Source organism: Homo sapiens, chromosome 5 (genome assembly GCF_000001405.40).
Source record: "Homo sapiens chromosome 5, GRCh38.p14 Primary Assembly".
Taxonomy (NCBI): Eukaryota; Metazoa; Chordata; class Mammalia; order Primates; family Hominidae; genus Homo; species Homo sapiens.
In genome coordinates, this window is record NC_000005.10 from 43,194,361 (window position 1) to 43,216,038 (window position 21,678).

The window sequence follows — 21,678 nt, forward strand, 5'->3', positions numbered from 1 at the left end:
TTTTTAGCTGGACCACTGTTAAATGGTAAGCCTGGAAAAACCTTCAGAGAAGCCTCCTTCTGTGTTAGGAAAAAATGTGGATTGGATATTTGGTTTGAGGTGTGTGCTTTTTTTCTAACTACATTTAAAATAAAGACAGGTTTATATGAAATCTGAATTCCCCAGTAATAACTACAGATAGGTTATAGAGCCCTTTATATTCTTGGTTTAACCCTAGGTTTTTAGTTGAAAAGGTTTAATTTGGGGCAAGCAGTGGTACCATTTCAAATACTTTTATCAGCAAATGTTGGTTTCTTTAAAGAACCGTAATTCATTACACATCCACGATTTCTGAGCTTCAAATTCTAACATTGATAGCATGTGATTAGACAGCTTGAAGCCCTCAGACTTACAGTTTTGTTTTATTTTCTTTTCGTTTTTAGAGACTGGGTCTCGCCATGTTGCCCAGGCATGTCTCAAACTCCTGGGCTCAAGGGATCTTCCTGCCTCAGCCTCCTGAGGAGCTGGGACTACAGGTGCATGACAGACTTATCATACATTTTTAAAAAAACAAAAGCAAAGATTTTTGTCTTAGTAGGTTAATGTTTTTGTCACATATATAGTTTCATTTTGAGAAACTTAAAAATTAAAATATAACATTAAATCCAACTTCATTCTTTGAATCTGATCACTGTATTTCTCTAGGGATTAAAGAGTTTTAATTCATTGGTTGATTTTCTTTCACTTGTTGAAAGGACAAACTGTTCATAAAATTTGTTTCATTTTGTATTTTGTCATTTCCTATTGTCATTCTAGAAAAAGGTCTCTAGAATTGAAGTTTTAATTTTCAGGAGAAGAAGAAAATATTCAAATTGCTTATGAAGATAATAGTCTACAACTTGAATTAACCACATCATAGTTCTTAAATTACTTTCTCTCAAGAACTTCAAGGTTAGCTTAGCCATTATTATACAGCATCCTGAGGAATATTAATCAGTTTTACAGATGGACAAGTTGTGTTCAAAAGCCAAGTGATAGGTCGGTGCCGTGGCTCAGGCCTGTAATCCCAATACTTTGGGAGGCTGAAGCAGAAGGACTGCTTGAGCCCAGGAGTTCGAGACCAGCCTGGGCAACATGGTGAGACCTTGTCTCTATAAAAATTTTTTAAAAATTAGCTGGGTGTGGTGGTGCATGCCTGTAGTCCCAGCTACTGGGGAGACTGAGGGAGGAGGATTGCTTGAGCCTGGGAGGTTCAAGGCTGCAGTGAGCTGTGATTATGCCACTGCATTCCATCCTGGGAGACACAGAAAGACTCTGAATCCAAAAAAAAAAAAAAAAAAAGTGATTTCAGCTAACCACTTGGAAAATCGAGACAAAAATCTAAATTGTCTGACATGAGCATTATGAATATGAGCATTAGCCAAGACTTAAGAGAAATTCAGGGCATGGATAGCGGGAAGAATTTAAGATTAGAGAGCAAAATAAAACTGTTAAGGGGAAAAAACTGTAAGGAGAAAGCAGATTAATAGAAAGAAAGTAAAAGCGAAAACATCAAGTGAAAAGAGGGTTGCACAGAAGGAAAACGAAGTTGCAGAATAGGAAACTAAGAAGAACTCCACTCTTCATCTTCCACAGAGAACACTGATGGTTTTCCAGAAAGCAGTCAGTACCCTATTTAGCAAAATCGTGTGACTTGGGAGGCCTTAGCGGCAGATCTTAGTTCATTCTGACTCCCTGCCACCCATCCAAGTGGTGTGGGCTGAGGCAGCTGTCTTTTCGGGTCTCCTGAACTAGCTGCTCATTAGATCTTTTCTCCCTAATCCTAAAGCCATCAAGAAGCTTTCTGTGTCTCTATTTGTTGGAATTATCTAGTTGGGATAATATATGGATACACTTGATTACATAATTGCACTGAAATTTTTCTTTTTACTTTAAAAAATTGTTCAAATTGTTATCATCACAATGCATTCACCTAATTTTATGAGAGTATATTAAAAGCTTATAACTGGCTGGGCGCGGTGGCTTACGCCTGTAATCCCAGCACTTTGGGAGGCCGAGGTGGGTGGATCATGAGGTCAGGAGATCGAGACCATCCTGGCTAACACAGTGAAACCCTGTCTCTACTAAATATACAAAAAAAAAAAAATTAGCCAGGTGTGGTGGTGGGCGCCTGTAGTCCCAGCTACTCGGGAGGCTGAGGCAGGAGAATGGCTTGAGCCTGAGAGATGGAGCTTGTAGTGAGCCGAGATCGCGCCACTGCACTCCAGCCTGGGCGACAGAGCGAGACTCTGTCTCAAAAATAAATAAATAAATAAATAAAAAATAAAAGCTTATAACTAAAACAACAGTCCCAGTCTCCAGAGGCAATCATTTTGAACTCTTGGCTGTTTGATCACTTACCTCCCTATGTCCAAATAATTAGCTTATGTTGCTGTTTTTTCTTTTTTTCTTGAGACAGGTTCTCACACTGTTGCCCAGGGTAGAGTACAGTGGTGTGATCATGGCTCACTGCAGCCTTAAATTCCTGAGTTCAAGCAATCCTTCCCCCTCAACCTCTTGAGTAGCTGGGGCTATAGGTGCACGCTACCATGCCCATGCCCAGCTTTTTTTTTTTTTTTTTTTTTTTGGTAAAGACAAGGTTTCACTATGTTGCCCAGCCTGGTCTCAAACTCCTGGGCTCAAGCAATCCTCTCACTTTGGCCTCCCAAAGTGCTGGGATTACAAGCATGAGCCACCATGCCTGGCCACTGGTTCTTGATTTATCAATTTTGGACAGAATCTATTGACTTATTTATTTTTATGTTTTATTTAGAGGCAGGATCTCACTCACCTAGACTACAGTGCAGTGGTACAATCATAGCTCACTGCAGCCTAGAACTTCTGGGCACAAGTGATCCTCTCATTTCAGACTCCAGAGTAGCTGGGACTACAGGCATGCACCATCATGTCCAGCTAAGTTTTTTATTTTTGTAGAGTTGTCGGTGGTAGGGGGGGCGGGCCTCTCTATGTTGCCCAGGCTGGTCTTGAACTCCTGGCCTCAAGCCATCCTTCTGCCTTGGCCTCCCAAAGTGCTGGGATTACAGGCGTGAGCCACCACGCCTGGCCAAATTAGTTCTATTCTTGGCTAATAAAATACACCTTAGTCATTTTTAATCATGAAGATTTTTAAAGAGCCTTTTAAACTTTTTGGAAATTTGAAATGTAGCCAAATACTCCCTCAGATGTAATCAACAGCGCCAGCCCTTGAGCTCCTACAGAACACAGAGGTACTGATTTTTCCACCCTTTATACTGCCTCAATTTCCATGATCCATACTCCATACCCCCTCTCCCATTTTACCATTTCCCTGACCTACATTTCTCTATCTTTCAGTACTTGCTGAATCACACCTGGAAATTCCTTCAGGCCTTATCTCCTTCCAGATGTTCTCTTTTGGGCCCCACCCTGTCTGTACCTATCTCTAGTTTAGCCTTTGGCCATTATATTTAGACGATCTGTTTATGCATCTACCTTGCCCCACTAGCTGTAGATTTAGTTATATCTACATTGTTCCTGGGGGTAACTTGTACACTTAAACATGGAGGACGGAGCTTAAAAATAATGTTTGTTGAACTGAACACGTCATCTTGATATTGAAGGAGTATTCCATAGTAGAGTAAGAGGGGTAGCAACCTCACATTGCTTAGAGTAGGGGTGAGGGCAAGGAAGTAGGGGGAAAACATAATCTATTTCTTTTCTTTTCTTTTTTCCGATGGAGGAGTCTTGCTCTGCACCCGCACCTGGCCAATATGATTTCTTTCTTTCTTTCTTTCTTTCTTTCTTTCTTTCTTTCTTTCTTTCTTTCTTTCTTTCTTTCTTTCTTTCTTTCTCTTTCTTTCTTTCTTTCTTTCTTTCTTTCTTTCTTTCTTTTCTTTCTTTCCTTTCTTTCTTTCTCTCTTTCTCTCCTTTCTTCCTTCCTTCCTTACTTCCTTCCTCCCTTCCTTCCTTTCTGTCTTTCTGTCTTTCTTTCTTTCTGTCTTGCTCTCTCTCTCTCCCCCTTCCTCCCTCCCTCCCTCTCGAGCTCGCTCTCTTTCTTTCTTTCCTACTTTCCTTCCTTCCTTCTTTCTTTCCTTCTTTCTATAGTGAAAACTGTCTTTATTTTTATTGCCTTTTATTTTCAACAATGATTACTTGAACTTAAAAAAAAAAGAGCGGACTTTATTAAGTAATGATTACTGAAAAGCCAAACCTTTCCAGCCCACTTCATATTGTCTTTTAACCATTTCAGAACACGATCTATTTCTTATCCTCCTACTTTCTAGCAGCATCTGTTTAGAGGGGATTGCCTGTGGCACACACAGCTCCTGCTCATGAGACAAGGTGAAGAAGCCTCATCTGTTTTGTGTGAAGCACAGACCCTGAGGTCAGACAGTCTTGGGCTTGAAATTAAACTTGGATGTTAATTGCCTGTATGGCTTTGGACAAGTTACCAAGTCCTTCTGAAGTTTAGTTTCTTCATCTGAAAAATGAGGATAATAGCAGGCACCTTTTAGGGCTGTTGTAAAGATTTTTAAAAATATGTATAAAGGGCCAAGCACGGTGGCTCACACCTGTAATCCCAGCACTTTAGGAGGCCAAGGTGGGTGGATCACCTGAGGTCAGGAGTTCGAGACCAGCCTGACCAATATGGAAAAACCCCATCTCTACTAAAAATACAAAATTAGCTGGGCATGGTGGCACGTGCCTGTAATTCCAGCTACTTGGGAAGCTAAGGCAGGAGAATAGCTTGAACCCGGGAGGCAGAGGTTGCAGTGAGCTGAGATTGTGCCATTGTACTCCAGCCTGGGCAACAAGAGTGAAGCTCTGTCTCCAAAAAAAAAAAAAAAATATATATATATATATATATATATATATATATATGAAAAATGTATATATCTATAAATGAAATGCCATCTCTACTAAAATATATATATATATGTATAAAGTAGTTGAAATGAAATAATGACTAGTCTTCTAAGTTAGGTACGCTTTGGCCTGCAGTTAACTAAAGAATCTTCCTGCTTAGCTAGAAGTTTATTTTTCTTGCAGAAGAAGAGGTCTAGATAAGCAATTAAGAGCTTTGTTTTAGCTGCCATCAGAGACCTAGTTTATTCCTATCTTTCTGTTCTGCTATCCATCCTTTTGCCCTCATATTTATCACTTCATGGTCTCTAGGTGGCTACTACTCCTCTGTAAGTTCCACAGGGGAAGGAAATGAAAGGAGCTGCTCCAGCTGCAACTATCCTCTTTCAACAGGAAAGCACTAATTATCAGAAACACCACACTAAGGTCTTACTGGCCAAAACTGTGTCTCAGAGCTATCCCTATCTTTGAGGGAGAAAGGGAAACTGGGATCGCCAGCTACTATAACAGAAGGCAAAGAAAGGAGAAGAGAGTTAGTAGTGACGTTGAGTGAGCCAGGCTGCAGTGATGTCTGCCACACTATCACTTATTGATAGGGTGGCCATATGTCCCAGTTCGTCAGTGCAACCCCGGTTTACACCTGTTGTCCTAGTGTGATTGTTATTATTATTTTTTGAGACAGAGTTTTGTTCTTGCCCAGGCTGGAGTGCAATGGTGTGATCTCGGCTCACTGCAACCTCTGCCTCCCGGGTTCAAGTGATTCTCCTGCTTCGGCCTCCTGAGTAGCTGGGATTACAGGCATGTGCCATCACGCATGCTCAGCTAATTTTGTATTCTTAGCAGAGACGGGGTTTCTTGGCCAGGCTGGTCTCGAACTCCTGACCTCAGGTAATCTGCCCACCTCGGCCTCCCAAAGTGCTGGGATTACAGGCCTGAGCCACTGCACCCGGCCGTCCTAGTGCAATTATTAATAGCACCCCATTCTCAGAGGTGTCTTGGTTTGAATGACAGATTCTATGTTCACCCTTCTTATTGAGCACTTGCTATTTATTGTAGGCTCTCATTAAGTAGTAGTTATTTTATTTTATTTTATTTTTTGAGATGGAGTCTCACTCTGCCTCCCAGGCTGGAGTGCAGTGACGCGATCTCGGCTCACTGCAAACTCCGCCTCCCAGGTTCACGCCATTCTCCTGCCTCAGCCTCCCGAGTAGCTAGGACTACAGGTGCCCGCCTCCATGCCCGGCTACTTTTTTGTATTTTTAGTAGAGACGGGGTTTCCCCGTGTTAGCCAGGATGGTCTTGACCTCCCGACCTCGTGATCTGCCCGCCTCAGCCTCCCAAAGTGATGAGATTACAGGCGTGAGCCACTGCGCCCGGCCAGTAGTAGTTACTAAGACAGCTAGAACACAACCGTAAGATACACAACAAGTCAAGTTTACATGCAGTGATTGCTTGTGTAGTACAGGCAGGAGGTACACTGAGTTTACAAGGGAGAGGAATGAGTGTGAATTGACAAAGAGTTGAGGTCAGCTGGTCCGGATGGAGAGGAAATAATATGGGGAAATTGTAACACCAAGGCGAGAGAAGTAACTGGGTTGGACCCAGTTTAAAATATGCAAAAGTGGCTGGGCGCGTTGGCTCAAGCCTGTAATCCCAGCACTTTAGGAGGCCGAGTCGGGTGGATCATGGGGTCAGGAGTTCAAGACCAGCCTGGCCAAGATGGTGAAACCCTGTCTCTACTAAAAACTACAAAAATTAGCCAGGCACGGTGACAGGCTCCTGTAATCCCAGCTACTTCAGAAGCCAAGGGAGGAGAATTGCTTGAGCCTGGGCGGCAGAGGTTGCAGTTAGCCAAGATGGCGCCGCTGCACTCCAGCCTGGGCAACAGAGCCAGACAACATCTCAAAAAAAAAAAAAAAAAATTCATGCCTGTAATCCCAGCACTTTGGGAGGCCAAGGCGGGCGGATCATAAGGTCATGAGATCGAGACCATTCTGGCTAACACGGTGAAACCCTGTCTCTACTAAAACTACAAAAAATTAGCTGGGCATGGTGGCGGGCGCCTGCATTCCCAGCTACTGGGGAGGCTGAGGCAGGAGAATGGCGTGAACCTGGGAGGCGGAGCTTGCAGTGAGCGGAGATGGAACCACTGCACTCCAGCCTGGGTGACAGAACAAGACTCCGTCTCAAAAAAAAAAAAAGGAAAAGTACACAGTTGATATGCCAGGGACTTTTCTTTGAAGACTAACAACAAAGTTTTCATGCTGCCTTTGTTTGAATGATGAACACTTTGTAATATGAGGTACAATGCTAAGATATGATTGGATCTAAGAGCATTCTTAGAACTGATGACACAAAATAAAACAGCCATTCATATTTGTGAAGCCAAATATATTTTTTTTTGCTGTTAGAAAGCCTACCACAAAAGTTTAACATGTGAGAAGAAAGATATTTTTCTGACCGGGCGTGGTGGTTCATGCCTGTAATCCCAGCACTGTGGGAGGCTGAGGTGGGTGGATGATGAGGTCAAGAGATTGAAACCATCCTGGCCAACATGGTGAAACCCCGTCTGTACTAAAAATACAAAAATTAGCTGGGCGTGGTGGCACGCACCTGTAGTCCCAGCTACTCAGGAGGCTGAGGCAGGAGAATCACTTGAACCCTAGAGGCAGAGGTTGCAGTGAGCTGAGATCGTGCCACTGCACTCCAGCCTGGTGACAGAGCGAGACTCCCTCTGAGCGAGACTCCCTCTCAAAAAAAAAAAAAAAAAGAAAGATATTTTTCTAAATTATTCTCTTGAGCCTATAGTAGATTGTGACCTTGAGCTATTTGATAATAAATCCTCCTCTATCAAGAGAAAATATTTGCAGCTTCCAAATTTTCTTTTGAGTTAATATTAAAGGAAAACATTTATGGTCATTAATTTTTTTTCTTAGCTTGACTTTTAAATCCCCCCAATTTTTTTTTATTTTTATTTTTCAGAAACAGGATCTCCCTCTGTCATGCAGACTGGAGTGCAATGGCATGGGCATAATTCACTGTAGCCTCAAACCCCTGGGCTCAAGAGATCCTTTCTCCTCAGCCTCCCAAAGTGCTAGGATTATAGGTGTAAGCCACTGTGCCTAGCCCCCAAATTTGTTTTAGATATTTATTCATTCTGTTAGGCTGGTTGGTGAGCTGATATAGCTGAAAGAGACAAAGTAAAGACATTTGGTCCTAGTCTCATCCCTGCCACTGTCTCTTTACCCCTCTGGGTCTGTTTATTCCAATACAAAATGCGAGATTAAAAAATCCTACAAGCCCCTCCCCAGTGGACTCCTAAAAGTCCCCTAGTGTGCTTGGGTAATCAAGGGAAACTGAATCAGCCAGTCGGCTTGGAGCCTCAGGTTAATTTGGTTTAGCCAAGTATTAAGAAGTAAGATTGCAGAGGAAAACTGAGATAAGACCCTGAAGTGCCTCACATCCAGCTAAGTAAATTGCCATTTGTTTTTGCCATTTACTAAGCAGCGCTGAAGAAAAAGGTCAGTGTGAAAACGGGTGTGCTGGAACGGTCAGAAGGAGGAAAGACTGACAAGGGATAAAAATACTTGTTTTATTCTGAGTTTTGAGTTATTTTACAATGTTCAGTGACCTCACAACATACCTGGTTCAAATTGCAGAGTAGTAGACCCTAGAAAGCCTCACTGCCACGCTCAGCTTACCTGCTGCTGGCTCCATGTCCTGAGATTTTCAATGGCGCCTCACAATTCTCATCATCTAGACACAATCTATTGCTGGTTGCTCTTCAGCTCCAGCCTTTCGATGACTGTTTTGCTTCTGCTGGAATGTTTGTTGGTAGCCTTTAGTTTTGCTCCTAACCGCCTTCCACCATCCCCCCAGCCCCACCGCCCCGCCATAGCTCCTTCACTACTTAGCAGCTGCACAAGAAGACCTCCCTCCTAGGCTCCACTCAGTTCCCAAGAAGAGCAATTCTTACTGCTCTAGGATTAAATTTATGCTACTGCTATTAACATTTTAGGATATCTATAGTGTTAAATCAAGTTCAGCCTAAAGCTGCCTCCCTACATATTTTGAGTTTGGCCTAAAAGTTTCTCTGTACATTGTGAACTACAACCTAAATGCAGTTGTTAACGGACTGAAGCCTACTTTTGTGCCAGTCACCGAGTTTTGGCCAATGAAAGGTGGCCAACTGTTCAAACCATGTTCAAATAAGGCAAACGTTGAACTGTGACGAATCCGGCTGTTTTTGTACCTCACTTCCATTTTCTGTGCATCACTTTTCTTTTTCTGTCCATAAATCTTCCACCACTTGGCTGTGCTGGAGTCTCTGAGCCTACTCTGGCTTGGGAGGCTGCCCAATTCATGAATAATTGTTTGCTCAGCTAAACTCTGTTAAACTTAATTTGGCTAAGGTTTTTCTTTTAACAATAGTCATATAGTACACTAATCTGTGGTGTTTCTTTATTGAACTATGGTGACATTACCAGAGCTAGTCTCAACTTTCCATAAAAAATCCCTCCTTTGGCTGGGCACAGTGGCTCACGTCTGTAATCCCAGCACTTTGGGAGGCCGAGGCAGGCAGATCACCTGAGGTCAGGAGTTCAAGACCAGCCTGGCCAACATGGTGAAACCCCGTCTCTACTAGAAATACAAAAATTAGCTGGGCATGGTGGCAGGCACCTATAATCCCAGCTACTCGGGAGGCTGAGGCAGGAGAATCACTTGAACCCAGGAGGCAGAAGTTGCAATGAGCTGAGATCTCGACACTGCACTCCAGCCTGGGCAAGAAGAGTTAAACTCCATCTCCAAAAAAAAAAAGTGGTGTAATTTGTGTATTTACTATCACTGATAGTTCCAATGGTTTTTTTTTTTTTTTTTTTTTGAGACGGAGTCTCACTCTGTGGCCCAGGCTGGAGTGCAGTGGCTCGATCTCAGCTCACTGCAACCTCCGCTTCCTGGGGGGTTCAAGAGATTCTCCTGCCTCAGCCTCCTGAGTAGGATTACAGGCACGTACCACCACTCCTGGCTAATTTTTGTATTTTTAGTAGAGATGGAGTTTCACCATATTGGCCAGGCTGGTCTCGAACTCCTGACCTCAAGTGATTCGCCCACCTCAGCCTCCCAAAGTGCTGGGATTACAGGCGTGAGCCACCACACCCAGCCTGATAGTTCCAATGGTTAATTCAAAAACAAGGCACAGTCCAGGAGTGGTGGCTCACGCCTATAATCCTAGTGCTTTGGGAGGCCGAGGCGGGTGGATCACCTGAGGTCAGGAGTTCAAGACCAGCCTGGCCAACTTGGCAAAATCCCGTCTCTACTAAAAAAATACAAAAAATTAGGCGGGCATGGTGGTGGGTGCCTGTAACCCCAGTGACTTGGGAGGCGGAGGAACAAGAATCAGTTGAACCCAGGAGGCGGAGGTTGCAGTGAGCCAAGATGGTGCCACTGCAGTCCAGCCTGGGCAACAGAAAGAGGCTCTGTCTCAAAAAAAAAAAAAAAGTCACAGCTGGGTGTGGTGGCTCACGCCTGTAATCCGAGCACTTTGGGAGGCTGAGGCGGGTGGATTACTTGAGCCCAGGAGTTTAAAACCAATGTAAGCAACATGGCAAAATCAAATATACAAAATTTAGCTGGGTGAGGTGGCGCTCGCCTGTAGTCCCAGCTACTTGGGAGACTGAGGTGGGAGGATCTCTGGAGCCCGGGAGGTCGAGGCTGCAGTGAGCTGTGATTGCACCACTGAACTCCAGCCTAGGTGACAGAGGGAGACCCTGTCTCAAAAAAACACGAACAACAACAACAAAAAAACAAAAACAAGGCATGTCAAAGAATCTTCCTTTCTAATTCTCCTGCCTGCTCTTGCTACTGTCACTGACTTATGCCATCCCAGGCTGATGCTGGACTTCATGGCAGTGGCCTGTTTCGTAGTGTTAGGTTCCACTGCACACCAGAGGGAGGCAGCAAGTGGAATTGGGTGAAACTGGACCCCAGACTGGCCTTGTCACTCACTAGCTCTCTGAGTTTGGACAAATGTCTCATCCTCTTTAGTAATCTCATCAAGGCAGTGAGAATTTTAATATCTATCTTATAGAGTTTGTTGTAATGGTTAAATTAGTCACATAAGCATATGCAGCACAATGTCTGATGTACAGTAAGTGCTTAATAAAAGTAGCTTTTAGTATACTTTCCCTGTTACACTGAATAAAATGCTAGCAACACTACTCTAACACCAACTAAAACAATGGCTACTTCCATCTGGGTGTGATGGCTCATGCTTACAATCTCAGCACTTTGTGAAGCCAAGGTAGTGGGGACCACTGGAGCCCAGGAGTCAAGACCAGCCTGGGCAACATAGCAAGACTCTATTTCTACAAAAAATACAAATTAAAAAAAATGGCTACTCTCAAATGTCCTTCAAAAAGTGTTACTGCTTTGTGGTTTACATTATATCACCTTTCACAAATTGTGTTTTACTTCTTGTTTGCTTGTTTTTGTTTTGTTTTGTTTTGTTTTGAGACGGAGTCTTGCTCTGTTGCCCAGGCTGGAGTGTAGTCTTGCGATCTTGGCTCACTGCAAGCTCCACCTCCCGGGTTCACGCCATTCTCCTGCCTCAGCCTCCCGAGTAGCTGGGACTACAGGTGCCAGCCACCACGCATGGCTGATTTTTTGTATTTTTAGTAGAGACGGGGTTTTACTGTGTTAGCCAGGATGGTCTCGATCTTCTGACCTTGTGATCCGCCCGCCTCGACCTCCCAAAGTGCTGGGATTACAGGCATGAGCTTCCGCGCCCGGCCTGCTTGTTTTTACTACTACTATTTATTTGGTGCCTACCATATCCTAGGTTGCACTACATACTAGGGAATATTGAAAATATGAAGATAAATCAGCAGGTCAGTCTCAGAGAGGCTAAACATAATGAGAATATAAATTTATACTCTGTCGGTTCAAAGTGTGAGCAGAGTTCAGTGGAAATACTGAGATGGAGCAATTAACTCTGGGTAAGTAAAGAAAAGAAAATACCGCCGGGCGGGGTGGCTCTATGCCTGTAGTCCCATCACTTTGGGAGGCCCAGGAGTTCAAGACCAGCCTGTGCAACATATTGAGACCTTGTCTTTACTAAAATTTTTTAAAAATTAGCCAGGAGGGGTGGTGCGTTCCTGTAGTCCCAGTTACTTGGGAAGCTTAAGGGAGAAGGATTGCTTGAGCCCAGGGATCAAGGCTGTAGTGAGCCATGATTGTGCCGCTGCACTCCAGCATGGGTGACAGAGTGAGACCCTGCCTCAAAAAAAAAAAAAAAAAAAAAATAGGTTGGGGGAGAAAAAAAGAAAATCCAAGAAAGTAAATTAGGAGGGTCTTGAAGGCTGAATAAGAAACGAGCAAGTGCTAGTCCTGGCCTCCCTGGTGCAGCGCACTCCCTGCCTGCTGCAGCCTGACTCGGCCCCCCAGTCTCCCAAGGCCACTCCCCCAGGTATGGCACAGGGCCTCGCCTCACTAAGGCAGCAGCACAGCACACTTGACTTCATGCTTGGCACCAAAGCTGATGGTGAGACCATTCTAAAAGGCCTCCAGTCCATTTTCCAGGATCAGGGGATGGTGGAGTTGGTGCACACCTGGAAGGACCATGGCTATTTAGCAACATGCACAAACAAGAACGGCAGCTTTGCCAATTTGAGAATTTACCCACATGGATTGTGTTGCTGGATCTTCAGAGTTACAATGGTGATGCACAAGGCAAAGAAGAGATCGACGGTATTTTGAACAAAGCGGAATTGAGTCAGGACAGTACTGGGCGGGTAAAACAATTACCACCTAAGTTCGAGGAGGAGCCATCAACAGATATTGGCCCATTACCTATGGGCGCCTGGTTGAATATGACATAGATTGAGGTGGTGTATGATGAAGATTCATCTTATCAAAATATAAAAATTCTACACTCGAAGCAGTTTGGAAATATTCTCATCCTGAGTGGGGATGTTAATTTGGCAGAGAGTGATTTGGCATATACCTGGGACATCATGGGAAGTGGCAAAGATTACACTGGCAAAGATGTACTCATTCTGGGAGAGAGAGATGGGGGCATATTGTGTGAAATAGTCAAACTAAAACCAAAGATGGTCACTATGGTAGAGCTTGACCAAATGGTGATCAATAGATGAAAGAAATATATGCGAAAAACGTGTGGCGATGTCTTAGACAATCTTAAAGGAGACTGCTATCAGGTTCTAATAGAAGACTGTATTCCGGTACTGAAGAGGTACACCAAAGAAGGGAGATAATTTTATTATGTGATTAATGATTTAACAGCTGTTCCAATCTCCATGTCTCCAGAAGAAGATTCCACATGGGAGTTTCTCAGACTGAATCTTGACCTCTCAATGAAAGTATTGAAACAGGATGGGAAATACTTTACACAGGGGAACTGTGTCAATCTGACGGAAGCGCTGTTGCTCTATGAAGAACAGCTGGAGAATTCTTCATAGAACAGTTGCTCTATGAAGAATTGTTCTGCGGAATTCTCAAAGGAGATCGTCTGTGTCCCTTCATACTTGGAATTGTGGGTATTGTACACTCTTTGGAAGAAAGCTAAACCTTAAAGATGAATAGCCCCTAACCACATGTGTTGCAAATAGCCTTCCTGACCTCCATATGCTGTACATGACATCAGAATGAGTCAGGCAATTGATTGTGAATTCCTCAAAGTTTTCCTTTTTTTAAACTATTATTTTTAATTTTAAAAAGCAAATGGAAAATCTGTATTTTGATGAGCTTATGGTGTTATTTTTTTGAAAGTCAGCTGAAGGATGGTTAGACAGCACAGCGAAGACTGCTGAATGCACTGACCCCCCCTGGAATGTGATTTTTGTTCCTTTTTATTTCAATGTGGGCTTTTGTTTTTGTTTTTGTTTTGGTAGATCTTCAGTTTGAATGTTTGGAGGAATGAACATCGTTGTTTTGTGCTGAAGGAAAGATCTTGATGGTGTTTCTTTCCCCAATAATTGACTTAGATATTAAAATTTGGTGCTTTCAAGAGAGAGTTAAAAAAATGAATAGGAATTGCTTCAATTAAATTACAAAAGAGAGAAAAAAAAAGAAAAAAGCAAGTGTGGTTGTGTGCAGTGGCTCATGCCTGTAATCCCAACACTTTGGGAGGCCGACGCGGGCAGATCACAAGGTCAGGAGTTCGAGAACAGCCTGACCAATATGGTGAAACCCTGTCTCTATTAAAAATACAAAAATTAGCCGGGCGTGGTGGCAGACACCTGTAGTCCCAGCTACTCGGGAGGCTGAGGCAGGAGAATCGCTTGAACCAGGAAGTGGAGGTTGCAGTGAGCCGAGATCACGCCACTGCATTCCAGCCTGGGCGACAGGGCAGGACTCTGTCTCAAAAAAAAGAAAAAAAAAAGAAAAAAGAAAAGAGCAAATGTGTTCCAGTTAGGGGAAACTGGGTATGTAGAGCCACATGGGCATGAAAGGACATGTTATGATAGGGGAAATAAAACTTAAGGAATAAATGGTATAATTGAAGCAGATCTCAGAACTTTCCTTGAGGCTGGATATTTAACTGCAAGTCTTTGATCTTTGGGGGAAAGGGACTAGAGATGGTTGGAATCCTGGGTAAACACTGACCTTTTAGTATTCTAGAGGTGAGATTTAATTCACTGCTAATTAGTGTTGGTTTTGGCTCCCCTAGGGAAGTGTAAACATAAAGAAGGCAAGGAGCAGGAACTCGGGCAAAGGCAAGTCCATGGGTGTGTACATTTCCAGAACTACTTGGAGAAATTGAGAAGTGCAAAGAAGGTCTTGAAAATAGAACAGGAATTATGTCTCATGCTTTAAAATAAAGTAAATTCTGCTGGAAGCGACTAACACATCACACCCTAAAAATAAAAACAGAGGGAAAATGGAGCCTCTTTTACTGTTGGTGTGATCATTTTAACCTCAGCAGCCTTCCAAGGGAAAACCATAATCAGGTTGTTTTTATTGTCTGCAGGCTGGAGCAAATGCTGGTTTGTAAACATTGTAATGCCTCCAACTCAATAGCCTTAAGAATGTCTACCCGCATTTGAGGTATGCTTCACTGGGAGCCGTAAGAGTGTTGTGCAAAAGCAATGGGGCAGCTCATCAAACCCGCAGTGTTTCAGAAATTTTCCAGCTAGAGAGGTGCTCTGGTTTAGGGGCACATTGAACAAACTTGCCTTTGTTTCAGGAGAAAACACTGGAAAGGGTTTTGCTTTTTTTGTTTGGTTGCTTTTAAATTTTTGCCTTTTATTTTTCTTCATAGAACAGTTGTTTGTGGTGATTTTTTTTTTCAACCAAAAAAGGATGTTTATGAGAGAAGTATCTATTTCTGTATCTTCTGGTATCCATGCTACCTTTATTTATTTATTTTAATTTTATTTTATTTCTTTTGTTTTTTGAGACACAGAGTCTCGCTCTGTTGCCCAGGCTGGAGTGCAGTGGCGTGATGTCAGCTCACTGCAAACTCCACCTCCCAGGTCCAAGTGATCCTCCCACCAAAGCCTCCAGAGTAGCTGGGATTATAGGCGCCACCACGCCCAGCTAATTTTTGTATTTTTAATAGAGATGGGGTTTCACCACGTTAGCCAGGCTGGGCTCGAACTCTTGACATCAAGTGATCCATCCACCTGGGCCTCCCAAAGTGCTGGGATTACAGGCATAAGTCACCACACCCGGCCCCGTGCTACCTTTAAAAACATCTGAACAATTCAAATCAATTCAGCCAGTGGTTACAGACTCTTCCCTGGTGCCCAGAATCTGAAATGAGTAAGATTGAGGACTTGCCCCACAGAAACGCACATTACAGTGGGGAGGACAAGTATGTACACAGTAACTGAAACACCAGACAGGATTTGAAGATGTTGGAAATACCAGAGGAAAAGCTGAATTCCGCTTAGGGTATTAGAAAGAGAAGAGAACCAGAGGGGAGGGGAAGGGAGGAGAGAGGAAGGGAGGAGAGGGGAGGGGAGGAGAGGGGAAAATTTAAGCTGAATTTGAATAATAGGTAGAATTTCAACCATTAGATCGTTGTGGTAAGAAAAGGAATAAAATTAATCTCTTGTAAAACAAGAATTTAAAACAAATTTTGTGCTCAGTAACAAAGTAAAACCAGTTTTTATTATTTATTTATCCATTCCATAAACATATATTGAGTATCTATGAGGTGCCAGGCACTGTTTAGAGATAGAGATGCATAAAATATCTTCCCTGCCCTCAGGTGAAGAGAGATGTGCACATAAAAACTTATACTACAGAGAGTCAATTATCAACAGAGGGGTGCATAAAATACTCTGGGGCACCACGGACTGGAGGGAGTCAGAGACTTCACAGAGGGACAGAGACTTGGAGGTTCAGCGGGGTATGGGTTGAGGAAAACATTATATGCAGGGGGAATGTCATGCATTGTCATGTACAAAGACATAGAAGCATGAAACTGCATGGGATTGTAGGCGAGCCAAGGGGAAATTTCCCTTCACCCTCTGCAGGTTCACTGAAAAGTCACTGACATGAAGCAGATTAATAGGAGAAAAGGCATGCAAATTTGTTTAACATGTATGCACGGAGGCTTCAGAATTAAGACCCAACCCCCCAGTGAGGTACAGAAGCTTATCTACCATCACATCTTGATGTTACAGAAAGAATGGGGACTTGGAGCTGGGTGTGGTAGCTCACGCCTGTAATCCCAGCACTTTGGGAGGCCAAGGCAGGCGGATCACTTGAGGTCGGGAGTTGGAGACCAGCCTGGCTAACATGGTGAAACCCCCATCTCTACACAAAATACAAAAATTAGCCAGGCATGATGGCAGGTGCCTGTAATCCCAGCTACTCAGGAGGCTGAGGCAGGAGAATCACTTGAACCCAGGAGGCAAAGGTTGCAGTGAGCCGAGATTGCGCCACTGTACTCTGGACTGGGTGATAGAGCGAGAACCTTTCTCAAAAAAGAAAAAGAAAAGAAAGAGGAAAGAAAGAAAGAAGACTTGGATCCTGGCAAAAGAGATTATGGGAGGGGGGTGGAAAGGAATTCTGTTAAGGGGCAATGAACCAATAGGGAACAGAGATTAACTTGTAAATAGGTCTCTTTGACAGTGAAAGGTTCTGGTCTGCTCAGTTGTGGTTACATTCTTACTCTTGTAGTGGGGAAGAAAAAACAGTTGTTTTCCTTGGGTCTGCATCTTAGGCAGATAGGAACTTCAGCTTTCCCAAAGAAGTTGTCTGTCTAAGATCCACACCCACCAAGGTCTTTGGGAACGACCATGGGGACTGGGGGGAATGTCAGTGAGACCTTGCGGTTTCTTCAGTTCAGCATGTCAATATATCATATTCTGGAATATTGGCTGCTAAGCCCCAACAGGATGTTTGTGAGACCTCAAGTACTTGGAGACATCTCAAATATAGGGCATATGGAGGGGGGTAAGTGGGAACAGGGGAGATGAGAAATGAAGCTAGAAATAAAGCCAAGAACTAGATCTTGAGGAGCTTTCTAGACCATGCAATGGAAATCTAATTTTATCCTACAGACATTTTAATGAAGGATTTTAAGCAGGACAGTACTGTGGTAAAATCTACATTTTGGAATAATCACACAAGTGGTTTGCTGGAGAATAAAATTGAGCTGGGAATAAAATTAAGATGGGAAGTAGGGAAGCCTGCTAGAAGGTTCTTAAAGCCACCTAGGCACAGAATGGGATTAAGACCCTTCATCAAACCACACATGCAACTCAAAATTCAAGCAAAGCTAACCATATAAGACTAACAAAAACAAAATTCGGATTTTTCTTAGGATGATTACCTAGATGCATTGAGAAATATATATATTGAATATAAAAGTATTTTAAGACTTTTATTTCCGCCTCTCTTGGATGCGCCTGGTCTGCTGGTGCCTTAAAGCATGTGCATCTCTACCTACTGTGGGATCCCAGGATGGAAATGTAAAAGGATTGGGGTGGTGTGGAAGTGGGAGGATCAACAGGATTGGGTGAGGGGAAGGTAGAGGACAGGAATGGCACCTAGGTTTCCTGCTTGGCCAACGGATCGCACATCATTTCTGGGTTTCTGTTCCTTATCCTTCCCAACACATGGCAGAGGTCTCCTCCCAGACAGGAATGGTCCCAACCTGTTCCTGTTGCAGAGGCCCTCTATCCTTTGAGCTTAGTCCAGGCTCCAATAGGGATTTTTAAATACTCTCACGTGAGGACCAAAAATAAATCCCTCCACAGTCTTTAAAATGCTCAGGACCAGAGTCAGCCTGTAACATACCATGGTTTCAGCACCGTCGTCATGAGGCTCCAGAAGCAACCCTGGGGCTCAGGAGAGGAGGGCTCAGCAGGACTCCCTCATTCCTTCCTCCCATCTCTAGTCCTCCTCCTTTTAGTGGCTCCTGTGTACAAAGATAACTCAGTCCCCTCAGTCACTCTGGGACTGTGGCTCAGTGACAAAAGCAGAAGATGCAGCCTGATAGAGACACCAACTCTAAACGTCTGGGAACAAGGCCCCAGGCAGCAGCTAAATATATCACTGCGATTGCTCCTGAATGTTCTAGAGCACCAAAGACTCTGTTAGGAAGCATATTCTCACCATGCACTTGGGTCTAGTGTTCATTGCACTGTTTCCTTTCAAGAGCCTCAAAGCCCTAACTTCAAGAGCAAACAAAAGCAAATTTAGAATGTGTACCAGATATATTCTCAATTATAGCTTCAGCTTCCCCTCTGTGTTCGCCCAGGTGCAGAGTAGAATATGGGCTCCCATATGTGCCATTTACTGTTTTTCATCAATATTTAAGCATCCACCTTTGCCAGAGGGTGTATTCAGGCAACTGGTAACTATGCCACCATTTCAACCACTTATTTGGTGCCTGATATCATTTTTTCTAAGTCCTCCTATTTCTGGATTCAAAACTTTGAAAAAAATCTCCATTTTCTTTCTTTCTTTTTTTCTTTCTTTCTTTCTTTCTTTCTTTCTTTCTTTCTTTCTTTCTTTCTTTCTTTCTTTCCTTCTTTTCTTCCTTTCTTTCTTTCTTGTTCTTTCTTGTTTCTTTTTCTTTCTTGTTTCCTTTCCTTTTCTTTTCTTTTCTTTTCTTTTCTTTTCTTTTCTTTTCTTTTCTTTTCTTTTCTAGTTGGAGTCTCATTCATTGTCACCCAGGCTGGAGCGCAGCGGCACGATCTTGGCTCGCTGCAACCTCCACCTCCCAGGTTCAAGTGATTCTCGTGCCTCAGCCTCCCAAGTAGCTGGGATTACCGGCATGCACCACCACATCTGGCTATTTTTTTTTTCTTTTTGAGACGGAGTCTCGCTCTGTCACCCAGGCTGGAGTGCCGTGGCACATTCTCTGCTCACTGTAACCTCCACTTCCCAGGTTCAAGTGATTCTCCTGCCTCAGCCTCCAGAGTAGCTGGGATTACAGGTGCCTGCCACCACGCCCGGCTTATTTTTGTATTTTTTTAGTAGAGCTTGGGTTTTGCCATATTGGCCAGGCTGGTCTTGAACTCCTGGCCTCAGGTGATCCACCCAGCTTGGCCTCCCAAAGTGCTGGGATTACAGGTGTGAGCCACTGCCCCGGCCAATTTTTGTATTTCTAGAAGAGATGGGTTTCACCATGTTGGCCAGGCTGGTCTCAAACTCCTGATCTCAAGTGATCTGCCTAACTCAGCCTCCTAAAGTGCTGAGATTACAGGCTGGAGCCACCATGCCTAGCTCTTTCTCTCTTTCTTTCTTTCTTTTTTCTTTCTCCTTCCTTCTTCTCTTTCTTTCTTTTTTTTTTTTTGTCTTACCTTTTTACCCAGGCTGGTCTTGAACACCTGGCCTTAAGCAATCCTCCCACCTCGGCCTCCCAAAGTGCTGGCATTACAGGCATGAGCCACCACACCCAGCCAAAAATATCTCAGTTTTGGAATGCTGGACTCGACCATCCCAGGCATCTGAGCCAGTTGACTGTATCAGGGAGGATTCACTCACTTTTACACACATGGTTATCAGAGACAGGCCACATTCCCAGATCACAGTAGAGATATATGCATATTTTTAGCCCTTAAACCAAGAAAATCTCTGTTGTAATTATAAGTAGGCAAAACAATATCATCATCAACAATAAAAACACACCCAGAAGTATACATGGTAAACTTGAAAGAACTTGAATTCCCCACTTCTACCCCAATTTCATTTCCCTCCTTCCTGGCAACAACTGGGCCTTCATTTGTGCAGAACTTTCCTTGAACTTTGCAAATATCTTTCCTTATTTATGAATAGATGTCCAATTACATGAATAGTGACTATCATGAAGCTCTCAGAAATGTGCCCATTTTGCCGGGCGCGGTGGCTTACGCCTGTAATCCTAGCACTTTGGGAGGCCGAAGCGGGCGGATCACGAGGTCAGGAAATCGAGACCATCCTGGCTAACACAGTGAAACCCCATCTCTACTAAAAATACAAAAAAATTAGCTGGGCATGGTAGCGGGTGCCTGTAGTCCCAGCTACTCGGGAGGCTGAGGCAGGAGAATGGCGTGAACCCAGGAGGCGGAGCTTGCAGTGAGCCGAGATCGCGCCACTGCACTCCAGCCTGGGCTAGAGCAAGACTCCGTCTCAAAAAAAAAAAAAAAAAACAAAAAAGAAAAAAGAAATGTGCCCATTTTGTGGACTTCATGGTTATTTAACTTACACCCTCCTTATCTTCACACTTATAATTAATTATTAAATTTCAAGCTAAAGTTGTACAGAGGTGGGGGTAGATGTGAACTGAGAATCAGAAACCTTCTCCATGCATACTTCTGAATATTTTTATGTTCAGGCTGTGATCTTTTTGTAGTTTTCTGCATTTAAATAATGTCCAGTCTCTAGAGCTCAAGCTTTGCTCATGAGCTGCCCTGTGAGATGACAGGTCCTCATTATCTGCTTTCACTTACCTCCTTGGGGAAATGTTTTCAGCCAAAAATACCGGGTCAATTAGCAAGTACTATGGAACAGTGTGTAATTCTCAGAAGTGGCTCCCAAAGCCCTCTGGCTCCCTGGTGAGCAACACTTAAATGCCTCTCCAACATTGTGTAATCACTTCTTCAATCAGCCGCACATCAGTTCCTGCTCTGGGGAGGGAAGTGTGCCTAATTACATTTGCCTTTCTCTTCATCACTCATGAAGGATGAAGGTCTTCTGTGCCTCCTGGGCCCAGCAGTTCTTGGAGTAGTAAAGGCTTAGCCAGCAAAAGGCCCATCTTTTTTTCTTTTTTCGAGATGGAATCTGGCTCTGTTGCCCAGGCTGGAGTGTAGTGGCGCAATCTCGGCTCACGCAGTCCCCGCCTCCTGGGCTCAGGTGATTCTCCTGCCTCATCATCCTGAGTAGCTGGAATCATAGGCGTGCGCCACCACGCCCAGCTAATTTTTGTATGTTTAGTAGAGACGATGTTTTGCCATGTTGGCCTGGCTAGTCCCCAGTCCCTGACCGCAAGTGATCTGCCCACCTGGGCCTCCCAAAGTGCTGGGATTACAGGCATGAGCCACCATGCCTGGTCCCATCTTTTCCTTTTAACAAGCAGTTTACTTTGCTTTCCCAAGCCAAGTAGACCTGCATGAGCTTTGACTTCATGATTCTTGTTCTTTAGTGGATTTACGTTATTACTTACTACGCTCCCTTCAGTAATCCCTACGTTATTACTTACTACGCCAGTTTGGATTTGACATATTTTCTCTTCCAGAATGCAGTCCAGAATGACTGCAGATACCTACATAATTTATGGTTTTCCTGGCTCCCCAGGAAATACATCACTGGGGATGCAGGCACTCCCCGGAGGCTTTTCTGTTTCCTATCATGATGAAT

General features: G+C 43.7%; 1 protein-coding gene and 1 pseudogene across 2 annotated transcripts in view; both read left to right on the plus strand.

Annotated features, from left to right (window-relative positions):
• Positions 1–21,678, plus strand: part of NIM1K (NIM1 serine/threonine protein kinase) — an 88,626-nt gene that overhangs the window by 2,136 nt on the left and 64,812 nt on the right. The window lies entirely within an intron of this gene.
• On the plus strand, positions 12,243–13,748 carry LOC100419037 (spermine synthase pseudogene; annotated as a pseudogene).